Source organism: Homo sapiens, chromosome 1, assembly GCF_000001405.40.
Source record: "Homo sapiens chromosome 1, GRCh38.p14 Primary Assembly".
Classification (NCBI taxonomy): Eukaryota; Metazoa; Chordata; class Mammalia; order Primates; family Hominidae; genus Homo; species Homo sapiens.
Genome location: NC_000001.11, coordinates 65,310,796 through 65,324,374, shown reverse-complemented (window position 1 = coordinate 65,324,374; position 13,579 = coordinate 65,310,796). Strand labels below are relative to the sequence as shown.

The window sequence follows — 13,579 nt, the reverse complement described above, 5'->3', positions numbered from 1 at the left end:
AAAAAAACAAAACAAAACAAACAAAAAAAACTTAGCTAGGCACAGTGGCGTGCACCTGCAGTCCCAGCTATGAGGGAGGGTAAGGCAGGAGGATCGCTTGAGCTTGGGAAGTAGAGGCTGCAGTGAGTTGAGATCGTGCTATTTGCACTCCTGCCTGGGTGACAGAGTGAGACCCTGTCTCAAAAAAATAAAAACAAAATAAAGAAAGAGAAAAAACTTATGAACAATCCCAAAATGGATATAACAAAGACAAGGCTCAGTGCCTTGTAAACTGAAGAGAGAAAATTCTCCACCTTGAAGAAACCTCAGGATAAGAAAAATATTCTCAACACTGCCTTACTTCACTTGAACTTCAGCACAGCCAACACTTATCAAGTTATCCACTATAGGGCAAGGAATACAGTGAGCAGTTTTCTATTCCTTATTCCATTTGTTCTTCCTAACAATCTGATAAGAAAGGCATTATTGGCTGGGCATGGTGGCTCACTGTGCCTGAACAATAATGTCTGTAATCCCAGCACTTTGGGAGGCCAAGGCAGGAGGCTCATTTGAGCCCAGGAGGTTGAGACCAACCTGGGCAACATAGTAGAACCTCATCTCTAAAATTTAAAAATTAGCTGGGCATGGTGTCGCAGTCTTGTAATCCCAGCTACTTGGAGGCTGAGGTGGGAAGACTGCTTGACCCCAGGAGGTGAAGGTTGCAGGGGGCTTTGATCATGTCACTGCACTCCAGCCTGGGTGACAGGGTAAGAACCTGCTTCAGAAAAAAGAAAAGAAAACAAAGGAAGGAAGGTGTATTAATCTAGTTTCACATCGCTATAAGGAACTACCTGAGCCTGGGTAATTTATGAAGAAAAGAAGTTTAACTGACTCACAGTTCTACAGGCTTAACAGGAAGCATGACTAGGAGGCCTCGGGAAACTTACAATCATGGCAGAAGGCAAAGGGGAAGCAAGACACGTCTTACATGGTGGCAGGAGAAAGAGAAAGTGAGAAAGGAAGTCCACATTTTAAAACCATCAGTTCTCACTCACTATCATGAGAACAGCAAGGGAGAAAGCTGCCCCCATGATTCAATCATCTCCCACCAGGCCCCTCCTCCGACAAATGGGGATTACAATTCGAGATGAGATTTGAGTGAGGACACAAAGCCAAATCATATTAAAAGGCATTATCTGTTTTACAAAGGAGGAAACTGAGGCTCAGAGGATTTAAATGACTTGCCCAAGGTCACAAAGCTAGTCAGCAATGTTAAAAACTTGAATCTAGAACAACCACTGGCTCCAACTCCAATGCTTTCCCCACTGCTGTAATAAAATTTTCTCATTCACACTTCATGCATTAGACAAAAAGGTATATCCTAAATGTTAACAATGGTTATTCATGAAAAACAAGTTTATCAGTTATTTTTATTTTTTCTTTGTGTTTTCTGGATTTTCCAAATTGTTTTGCCTTGAATATGTATTGCCTACCTAATGAAAAGCTATTCAAATTAATTTCTGAAAACAAAAATAATTCACAGAAATATCAACCTTTAATGCCAGTTTCAAGTAAACCATTATCATCATTTCTCATGTATGAGTCTACCAAAGATTAAGAAGTTTGTCAATACTCAGCTTTGACAAGAATGTGGGAAAACAGGTAGTCTCATATACTGTTAGAAACTTAATTTAGTGCAAGGTTCTTAGCAACAATGCAGGATCTATCATAATGTGAACTGCATATGTTCTTTCTCTTAGTAATTCCACTTCTAGGAATTTTTCCCACAGGTATACTGCATATACAATATATAAAAATATATGCTCAAAGATATTTACCCCCTATCAATAGAGGAATTTGGACAGTGGAATTTAAAACAATCGTTAGAGAAAATAAGGTACATCTTTAGGTACTAATATAGAAAGTTATCTATGACAATGTTAAATAAAACATCACATTATATAATAGCATGTATAGATGGATTCCAGGAATTCAAGTGTACATTATATATATGATTGGATGTATGTATATGTGAATATGCAAGAATCCATGTCTGTGTGAGAAGATAGAAAAAAATGGATTTTTATTTTCATTTTTATACTACTCTCTGAATTGTTTTAAATATTCTTTTCATTAACCTGTATCACTGCTATAAACTAAAATAGGTTTGGGGGGGTTAATTTTTAAGAGCCAAGAGGCCTGGCTTTCATGCAATGGCTTGAAAACAAAGCAAGATATAAAATAGAGCTGTCTTCCGTTACAACTGCAAATGCTCACAAAACGAGACAGTGTGTGAAAGTTTCCCAGCCTCTGTGTGCCAATGAGAGGCATAATGGAGACAGTTCTCTCCTGGCACATTCAGAGACAAAGCCAGGCTCCTATCTCCTGTTAGGAGATTTTAATGGCTGAATTTTAAGACCAATAATTACAGTAAAATCCTGCTATACTTTCAAGGCAATCTAAACCAATTTCCCTGGCAATTAAAACCCAACTTTTCCTGTCCTATCCCTCCAGCTTGTCTCTTCCTAAAGTAGCTGATATATCTTGGCTACAGGGTGCCCAAGATGTCAATTCCTCTTCTGAAAATCTCTCTCATGTCCCAATATGGCAGAAGACCTGAGTTCTGCTGCTAGTTTCACTGTGTATAAGCTCATTGAACCTAATTGAACCTTCTCTCAAAAACATTTTGTTAATACCACCTACTTCACTGGATCATTGTAAGTTCTGCATATGATAGAGCATAACAAAGTATGTTGCTGGTGGGGGATGTTGATAATGGGAGAGGCGATGCCTGTGTAGGGGCAGGGGATATATGGGAAATCTTTGTACCTTCCTCTCAATTTTGCTGTGAACATAAAACTTCTCTTAAAAAAAAATCGTCTTTAAAAAATTAAATTTAGGCTGGGTGTGGTGGTTCACATCTGTAATCCCTGTATATTGGGAGGCCAAAGGCAGGAGGATTCCTTGAGGTCTCAAGACCGTCCTGGGCAACATAGCAAGACTCTGGTCTACAAAAAATTTAAAAATTAGCCCTGCATGGTGGGGTGCATGCCTGTAGTCCTAGCTACTTGGAAAGCTGAGGCAGGAGCCTTGCTTGAGCCCAGGAATTCGAGGCAGCAGTGAGCTATGATTGCACCACTGCATTCCAGCCAGCTTGGGCAACAGAGCAAGACCCTGTCTCAAATAAATAAATAAATTTTTAAAAGACTGATACTTAGTGTTGAACAGTATAATTGCTGACCTTGTCTATGATGTAGAAATCCTGCCTACAATGTGGAATACCTAGGAAGCCACCTCAAACTCTCTCTATGCAAGCAGCCAAACAGTCTCTTAAAAACACAACTCAAACCTCATTTGTGGCCATGCCCTCCTAGTTCACTAAGCACCAGTTATATCAGGTACACACTTCTTTCTACAAAGCTATCCCCCTTCTCCAGGTCTTTGCATTTGCTGTACCTAGAACTTGAAATGCCCTACACTCTGCTCTTTCTTTTTCCTGCTTGTTTCTGTTTCTTCAGGTGTCAGCTCAAACATTATCTCCTCAGAAGGGCCTTTCCTGACCAGCCCCTGGAAGATAGGTCTCCCCATCCTACTACCATCCTGAGCTATTCTCTGCTTGCTCTAGCCCTCCATAGAATTTAGCATACCATAGAACCATATATCTTTGTTCACTGCTCATGCACTATAATCAAACTCATAAGTGCCAAGGTCTTATCTATCTTATCGTCTACTGTATCCCCCATGGCTAGAAGAGTGGCAGCACATAGTAGGCAGCCAGGAGACATTTATGCAATGAATGAATGAAGAGTATCAACTGCAAATGCATTCATTTACATTCTCACATTCCACTGTGCCTATGAAAAAGGCAGGGTCAGTATGATTTTTCTCATTTGAATGACTTGCCCAAGGTCACAGCTTGTAAATGACAAAGTCAGAGCTTAGATTTGGAGTTCCTGACTCATAATTCCCTAGTACTCCCACTGCTCAACAGCCTCAACTAATTTAGACATGGAAGGGTTGAAAATAGAGCAATATATCTAGGCTTCAGCAACAGGGAAGAAGAAGAGAAAGATCTGCTTTCCTACAGAGGTAAAGTAAGAGAGATGGAGGGGAAGAAATGGTGAGCTATTATCTTATACTCTCGGGCTGTGGATTAGTAAAATTCATTCCTTCATCTGAATGAAATGCAACTGCCTCTGGTATTGCAGCTCATGAAACCTCTCATCACCAAGTCACAGTATGGAAGAAACACTTTGCTGATTGAAGCAGCAAGTGAAATTTTAGGTAAGCCAGATGCAATTGCCTAAATTGGAAAGTGACACCAGTCTTCACACCTTTTGAGCCACATGCAGCAGACTGAGAACTAAGTCACATGCGTACACATATCCCAAAACTACAGTCATCTGCATATGGCATGGGGCTCCACATCTCCCAGGCATGCTGACTCACTGACTAGAGAGAAGGGGAGGAGAAAAGAGAAGAGGGGAGCAGATGAGTACAAGAGGCAAAGGAGAAGAGAGAGGGATAAGGAAGTTGAAGATGGGTGGGAAAGAGAAAGAGAAGGACAAAAGAAGAGAAGAGAGGGAAAGACTGCAGAAGAGGAAGAAACTAAAATAAGAATAAGGATCAGGGAAAAATGAAGACTATTATCTGCTAAGATTTTTGCCGCAATGCTCAAGTGGCCAAATGCTGGTACAAGAAAGTCCCTGAGAATTTCTGGGGTCAGGGTTGTTTTGGTTTTTTTGTTTTTTGTTTTTTGTTTTTTTTATTTTTTCCAGAGAATTCTGAAAAAAAATTCTGGTTTCAATAATCATCTTCCAAGTTTCTCAGGTGTTTGATTATTCTTGCTGTGCCTCCATCAACAAGCAAGGAACCAGAGTCTAGGGCTCTCCCAGTGAGAAGGGGCCACCCGATACAGACACCGTACTGGCCTCGGGCCTTAGGCCTGGACTCAGCCCAGAGCCACAGAGCTTCAGTTCTAGCATTTCTACCCATTATCTCACTCTTCCTCCAGGCAAACACAGGGCCTGCTTCTACCACACACCCCTCCACAGCACTCCCCTGGGCATCTGCACAGCCTAATGGGCAGCCTACCAAAAAGCTGAAAGCCTGGTGAAAGCTTGTGCCAAGCTAACAGTATTCTCAGCCCTTCCACAAGTATGTTCATGGTGAACTTGCAGCAGAGAAAAACAGTTGATCACATTTTCCACTTCTGGCTGAGACTAGAAATACTACCTTCTCTCCTGCTGCCATCCAGGTATCTCCTGTATCTCAGACCCCACCATTGGTTGGTTGTCAGTCTGTCATTCACCTGTGCAATGCTTCCCCAGGCTGACTTTTTCCCAGTCTCACTGACACTGCCCTGGCTAGGGCCTTCGTTGTTTCTCAGGTCATCAGCTAAACTGCAATTTGATTGTTCTCCTGGTCCTCCACTGGCATGCTCTGTCTTCCAACACACCCCTCCCCTTCCTCCTAAATCAAACATGCTTGGGGCCCAGGAATCTGTGTTTTCTTTTCCTTTTTTTCCTTCAACTTTTATTTTAAGTTCTGGTGTACATGTGCAGCATGTTTGTTACATAGATAAACGTGTGCCATGATGGTTTGCTGCACAGACCAACCCATCACCTAGGTATTCAGCCCAGCATCCATTAGCTATTCTTCCTGATGCTCTCCTTCCCCCGCCCCACCCATGCCCTGACAAGCTCCAGTGTGTGTTGTTCCCTGCCATGTGTCCATGTGTTCTCATCTTCAGCTCCCGCTTATAAGTGAGAACATGCAGTGTTTGGTTTTCTGTTCCTGCATTAGTTTGCTGAGGATAACAGCTTCCAGCTCCATCCATGTCCCTGCAAAGGTCATGATCTCATTCCTTTTTACGGCTGCATAGTAGGGAATCTGTGTTTACTCAGGTACATCTGATGCAGCCAGATCACAGTTAGGAACCACCGGTGGGATTCATCCTTCACACAGCTGTAAATTATCTCCAGGATTCACATTTTGCCCTCTTTTCCCTGGGGCTGCAGTATGACTTTTGTAGGCCGTAGGCATTTTTACCTTCATGGACCTATTCCTCTATTAACAGAAAAAAAAACATATATTTTAATGACTGCATTTGAATAAAGATGAATTCATTATTGTTATACTTATTTATTTTATTCTGATTTTTAAAGGCAATTAAAATGTAAACATTTTTGTGGACCCTAAAATTATTGTGGTTTCTAGACACTGTGCCTAGTAGATAAGTCAGCCCTACCTCACCCCATCTCCAAATCTTCACTGGCCTCCCACTGCCTGCAGAATAAAGTCCAACCTCCTCAAGCAGACTCACCCTGACCTGGGTCTTATCTTCCCAGCACCATCTGCTATAGCACCTCCCACCCATCTGGGCTCCAGCTTCAAGCCTAAATGCAATTCTCTAAACATACCATGCACTATGATGCCACTGTGCATTAGCCCAAAGCCCAAAACGGGTTTTCTTTCTTTCTTTTCCTACAGATTTCTGGCTCAAATATCAACTTCCACTGTGGCCTTCTTTAGTCTTCCTGGTTAAAATTATGGCTCCTTCTTCTGCACCCCTATTGCACTTTATATAACTATTATTATACTATTTATTCACCCTGACTTTTGTCAAATATCTCCAATTCTAATTGCACTTTTTTCACAGCATAACACTTCTAAAATTAGGAAGTGGCTTACAATGTATGCCAAACACACTTGCCAGCTACCAGGTAGAGTACTACACCACAATACAACAACAGTAATTTTCTGCACATGCAAACTTAACACTGCACAGGAGGCATTGGCTCATCTGGTTGCTTCCTTGGTGGTGACATTTGCGCTGTTAATACTACACGCATTTTAATTTTAATTTAAAGTTTCTATCTCTAGCACTTTTAAAACTATGTTCTGATGTGTTATTGAAATAAAAAGATATTTTTTGCATCTAGACTATGGCCTGTGACATGTGGGATAAAGCAACTAAAGGTAGTAGAAATTGCCAGATCCCTTGGCACATGTTATGGAACTTCCTAATTTCTTGGACCGTGAAGAACTTCTCCTCAGATACTGAGCTACTCTTTCAAAAGCTTCCAAGTAAATTTCAGGAATAGCTGTTTAATATACAATAACTGTAATTTAGTTTTTTCAGAGTTACACCTTTCGCAACAAGGAAATGCACAATCTAAACTCCAGCATTCTTCATCCATCTCAAACATAGCTTTTTTCCAAAAGGAGTTCAAGATGGTGAGCACAGATTTAAAAAAGCAGTTAAGTTAGCACAAAGCTTATATACAACTGCAGACGGCCAAAGATGATACAAAGAACTTTTAATATTAAACCTGAAAATGGCTAAGATTAAAACTTAATGACACCGATTAAGAAATACACAGATCTATAGATGAAAGTCATCTATTGTCAGTTCATTAAAAAAATTGTATACATTTTGAGTTTCCTTTTTTGGCTAAAAAAAAAAAAGTGACCTTTATGATGAATCATACAGTAGATTGTATTTGTTGGTCGAAAAAGCACAATCTTTTGGTAAGCTAATTCTTTCTTGACATGTCTATATTAGAAAACTGTTAAGGATCTAGGCTATATATTAACCATCTTTCTTTCACTTCCAGTGTCTTTACATATGAAAAAATGCTCATTACTGAATTGGTCTAGCTTTCGACCAACAGTTACATTTCTCTCAAACCTGGCCTCATTTCTGTTAAAACCTAGCTGTATGCTTATTTTTAGATTTGGATGGGCATATTTCATTATAAATGCCCTTTTAAAAATTCAAAATCCATTCATGCTTTTGTGCATCCAACAAGTATTTATCAGGCTCCTAATAAATGCCAAGCAATGACAAGACTACAAAGGCAAATAAGACCCAGCCTTGCTCTGAACTTTACTTACAGACTAGAGGGAGAGACAGGCCAGGCAGCATGTCACAACTCAATGTGATGAGAGCTGTGATACGGAAGTAAAGGCTGCTGAGGAGCATGGAGAATGACCATTGCATGCAGCCTGCGATTAAGGAATATCTGAGCTAAACCCTGAAGAATGAATAGGAGATAACCTGGAAAAGTGGGTGTCCAGGGGTCTATGGGATAAGTTGGCCTGAGTTGAGAGAACAGTGTATGCAAAAACATAAAGATGGAGGTGCAGGCTGGGGAGGGGATCTACCAGTGGAGCGACAACAAGTTTTGTTGGGCCAGCTTTCACAGGTGCCACAAAGGGCTTCTGATGTCCTGTTAAGAATACCTTGGATTTTATCCTAAGAGCAGTGGGGATCCATTTTCATTTGCAATATATTTTTCCAAAAATATATAATGCTTCATCAATTGTATTGTTCTCTCAGTGCCGTATCAAGTCTTAATCAGCTTTATTCAATGCTGTTTTTGCTGTTTTCATTTCCAGTGTTTTTAAATTCTTTATATTTAAGTAAAGAAAACATATTTGTACTTTCATGGGATTAAAAAACAACTGAACTCATTTTGGTTCTCTCAATCACTCCTATTTTTCCTTGCCTCAGAGAAAGAAGCAAATAAAAAAATTCACCACTAAATTCTTCATTTGCAATCGTATGGGCATTTCTCTATGGCATTTTACTCAATATAGAATAAGTAGAGCCTGTGTAACCTCACGCAACTTAACCTCTCTGTGCCTTAGTTTATTCAACTATAAGATGACCGTTACTATCATTTACCTTATAGGATTCTTATGAGGGTTAAATGTGACACCATATGCAGTGTTTAGCATAATCCCTGAATTATAATAATTAAATTGTAGCTATTTTTGTCATTAAGCATTATTGAACAATGTACATATATGAACATGGTTAAACTTTGAATTTGTATTTTATTATAATTCTAATGGTATACACATACATATACATATATGTGTAAAGCATATATATTTACACACACTCATGTTGTACGTTGAAAGTCCTTCCAGAAACTTTTAGTAGAAGTTATCTCTGAGGCAAGGACCTAAATGATCAGGGAGGGGAGAGAATACTTAACTTTTCTCATTTTATTCCTTTCTGTAATCTTTAATTCTTTTTTAACCTTTTATAATAAAAATTGGTGAAAACCCCTGTTGTGCAAAATAATAAAAAAAAAAAACATTATTCTCAAAGCTTAGGATAATTATATGGAAATCATTTTATATAGAGAAAAAAGCATGTGGAACTTAGGTTTGATTGGCCTAGAAAAGAGGAAAATTAAGACTAAGAGAGAATTAGTACCTGTTCTCAAAAATCTGTTGTCTAAGGGCTACCATGTGAAAGAAGGATTAGACATAATTTGTATCTAGAGAACAGAAAGGCTGATTTTGCCCAAATAAAAAGAACTCTGCACTGATGAGAACAGTTCAAAGACACTGCCCCAGTAGCTAAAGCTCCATCACAGAAAGTGTCCACCATTGGCTACCTGGCCAACTTTCCGAGATTTGGTTCCAGGGATTCCCCTTCCAAATCTATGAAATCTGGCAGTCTCCAAGCATTTGAAATTTGAAACTTAAATTGACGTATCTTATTCTGTAATCCAGTAACTGGTGCATCTTTAAACGATTATCCAGAAACATCCAAACTATAACCACACATTAAATAAGTTATATAAATTGGCTGGGCACAGTGGCTCACGCCTGTAATCCCAGCACTTTGGGAGGCTGAGGCAGGCGGATCACCTGAGGTCAGGAGTCCAAGACCAACCTGGCCAACATGGCGAAACTCCGTCTTTTCTAAAAGTACAAAAATTAGCCTGGCTGGTGGTGGGTGCCTGTAATCCCAGTTACTCAGGAGGCTGAGGCAGGGGAATTGCTTGAACTAGGAGGAAGAGGTTGCAGTGAGCCGGGATCACACCACTGCACTCCAGCCTGGGCAACAGAGTGAGACTCCGTCTCAAAAAATAAAAAAAAAATAAAAAATAAGTTATATAAATAAACTTTGCCTCCAACCTACAAGACCCTTCAATGGGCAGATATTCTTAAGAAAGGATTATTAGTACATATATGTTTATTATACTTCCATGAAGTATACAATTATCCAAACACGTATCTCATAATGTTGAAACCTGGTTCAAAATGTGGATGCTGTGTTTAAACACTAACTAAAATAGAATTTGTTAAAGGTAATTTTTGTTTCCAACCAGACTCACACTACATGGTATTTTAGCATTGTTCATTATCCTTATTCTTTTTTTTTAATATATACAATATTTTGTTTATTTATATATGTGAATTTCTATATATTTAAATATATAGAACAAAGCCTAAAAAGTGAGAATCAAAAGAGAAATCCTTACCTATCATTATACTTATTCTTTAAAAAGTATTAATATCTGTTTCCAGATTTTAATTGGACTACTCTTTTTCAGTTTGTCATTATGAACTTGGTAAATTAAGCCCAATATTGGAACACTTTAGCAGCTCAATATTGAAAGTTCTACTTTTGTGGTTCTACTTTCCCTGAAAAGTGGGGTGCACACAAGAGAAATAGGGGGTTTTCGGCATTGGGATAGTGCAGTGCCTTTGAGATATGACAGGATGACCTTTAAATGACAACCTTTTCTAGAGAATAATTTGAATGAAGAGAAAGTGAGCCAGGGAAGGCAGAGAGCTCTGGAAGTCACATCTGGCTAGGAGACTGCTCTGGTATCTACCACTTGAGAGGCTGTTGACTTAGAAAGCCATTACATTCCTCTGAACATGTACCCCTCTTTTATCTAAAAACAGGGGGGAAATCAAAGTAGATAAAAATGTTTCCATTTCAACAATCAGTTGATATTGTGTCTACCCAAAAGTTTAGTTCAATGGGGAAAAACTCAAACCTTTGAGTCAGAAGACCTAAGTCTGGCTGTCATTATCTATTCTACCTTTGATAGGTCTCCTACCACCTCTGAGAATAAGTTTCTTCATATGATAAATTGAAAGGGCAAGATACAAAGTAAAGAAAAACTGCAAATGTATTTTTATATTGTTTTCAGCCTCAACTAAAGCTCTGTGGTAAGAACAGCTCTTATGATTCCACTTTTATAAATGGGAACAGGCCAAGCATGGTGGTTCATGTCTGTAATCCGAGCACTTTGGGAGGGAGGCCGAGGTGGTCAGATCGCTTGAGCCCAGGAGTTTGAGACCAGCCTGGGCAACATGGCAAAAAACCCCATCTCTACAAAGAAAAAAAAAAAAAAAATTAGCCAGGCATGGTGGTTCATACCTGTAGTCCCAGCTACTCAAGAGGCTGAGGCAGGAGGGTCATTTGAGCCCAGGAGGTCCAGACTGCAGTGAGCCATGATCACACCACTGCACTCCAGCCTGGGCAATGGAGCAAGACCCTGTAATCACAGCACTTTGGGATGTCAAGGCGGGCAGATCACTTGAGACCAGGAGTCCGAGACCAGCCTGGCCAACATGGCAAGAGCCCGTCTCTACTAAAAATACAAAAATTAGCCGGGTGTGGTGGTGCACGCCTGTAATCCCAGCTACTTGAGGGGCTGAAACACAAGAATTGTCTGAACCCGGGAGGTGGAGGTTGCAATGAGCTGAGATCGCACCACTGCACTCCAGCCTGGGTGACAGAGCTATCTGTCTAGAAAAGAAAAGAAAAAGGTTACTAGGTTTTTCAGCGAGTAACAATAATGCAGAGGTTTGATCCCAAGTCTCCAAGCACAGACACATGCTGCTTCCCCAACCTATTTAATAAAATTCTGGGGAAATGAAATAAGAGAATTGTCCAAGTGTTCTATTATAAACAGTCTTACAAGTTTAAGGTATTATTAAGACTAAGCTTTAAATCATGTAGCGAGATGTCAACATATTTTTTCCACTCATTAATATTTCTATCAGAGCAAAAGTCCCATAAACCACTGATCCTATCCAGCATGTCACAGTACAATCAGTTGAATAAATGGGCAGATTACTGCCACTTTAGAAATGATCCATGAACTTAATTAGATATACTAAACAAATGGATATATTTACACTGCACAGGCCACACTTTGAGGATCTTAGAAGAAAGAACTATAATTAGGCAAGACATATAGTTGTACTAGTAAAAGAATCCTACTCTCAGAGTCCAATCCTTCATTCAAACCAAACAAATCATTCTCAGTTGAAAATATGCATCAAAATCATTGTAAGATACCCTGTACTTCTACAACAAAGCCACAATATTCCCCTAATAAAATATAGGAGTGAATGATGGATAAGGGGAGGAGAAAAGGAATCCCTGCAGCCTCTTCACACAACACCACTTTGATCAAGTTTAAGAATCAACTCCTGGCAATAGCACTTTAGAGATAACAATATTCTTAATGAAACACTTTCCCATCACAACAGATTATTAAAGCAATCCATTATTCTTCTCTCCACCTATTAAAAAAGTCTGATTTAGTGAAAAAGACAATCCTCAAAAATCCAGGACTTACCATAGGCTGCTCTGTGTTATAGTTACTGCCCCCACTGAGAGTCCCCTAGAGGCCAGAAGGATCTCATTCACTACTGTGTTCCCTCACAGTGCTTGGCACATAGCTGGGCTCAGAAAATGTATGTTGAACTTATTCTACAATGTAACATATTTCAAAAACCAATTTCAACTCTTAAAATAATAATCCCTATGAAAAAGGAAAACATATGTATTTCATATTTCTTTCATTTTCCTGAAGTGAGGCTCCTTCACACTCATTTGGAATATGTTTGTTTTCATTTCAATTGTTTACATGCTCACTACATGTAAACATTATTATGGTGGCATCATTCAGAGAACATGAATCTTTTTAAGATTTAAAGGAGATTACATCCAGTCAAAAGATGGATTACACTTTGATATATCACAGATTTGAAAAAACATACATTGAATAACCACATACAACATCAATAAAAAAGTCCTGCCTGGGCGCGGTGGCTCATGCCTGTAATCCCAGCACTTTGGGAGGCCGAGGCAGGCAGATCACCTGAGGTCAGGAGTTCAAGACCAGCCCGGCCAACATGGCAAAACCCCGTCTCTACTAAAAGTACAAAAATTAGCCGGGCATGGTGACAGGTGCCTGTAATCCCAGCTACTCAGGAGGCTGAGGCAGGAGAATCGCTTGAACCCGGGAAACGGAGTTTGCAGTCCGCCGAGTTCGCATCCCTGCACTCCAGCCCGGGCAACAGAGTGAGACTCCGCCTCAAAAAAAAAAAAAAAAAAAAAAAAAAACAGTCCTGAAACCATCAATCCCTTGGGGATCATTTTAGTTTTATTTAAAATGGTCTAAGAGAATGTCCCATCAATATCTTGGTTAACTTCAATAAGAGCTTCAATGAGTAGAATTTGTTTTCAGCCCAGGACATTTGAGCATCTGTGGACAATATTTCATCCCACTTTGGGACAAGGAAAATAGAAAATAATAGCCCAAGGACAGCCATTACACAATTAAAATAAACAAGCATTTGTTTGCAAAGCAGGGCATTTAAATTCAGTTTGATTTCATTACTGTTCAAACGACCCCATATGAATCTTTCCTCTGGAATCCTCAGTTGTCCAGTATTAAAGTTACCAGTGTAGAACCAACCACTGAGGACTTCAATTATAAATATCTCTGTAAACAATTCTCCGAACCTGGTTCCCTGCAGAAGT

General features: G+C 39.6%; 1 protein-coding gene and 1 long non-coding RNA gene across 4 annotated transcripts in view; both read right to left on the bottom strand.

Annotated features, from left to right (window-relative positions):
• The window catches only part of DNAJC6 (DnaJ heat shock protein family (Hsp40) member C6), a 151,123-nt gene that overhangs the window by 91,497 nt on the left and 46,047 nt on the right, over positions 1–13,579 (bottom strand). The gene's annotated exons all lie outside the window — the stretch shown is intronic.
• Positions 1,516–13,131, bottom strand: LOC112268227 (uncharacterized). The gene is made up of 2 exons (XR_002958317.2): positions 8,227–13,131; positions 1,516–6,048 (listed from the first exon to the last, which is right to left on the bottom strand). It is a non-coding gene; the product is annotated as an uncharacterized LOC112268227 (long non-coding RNA).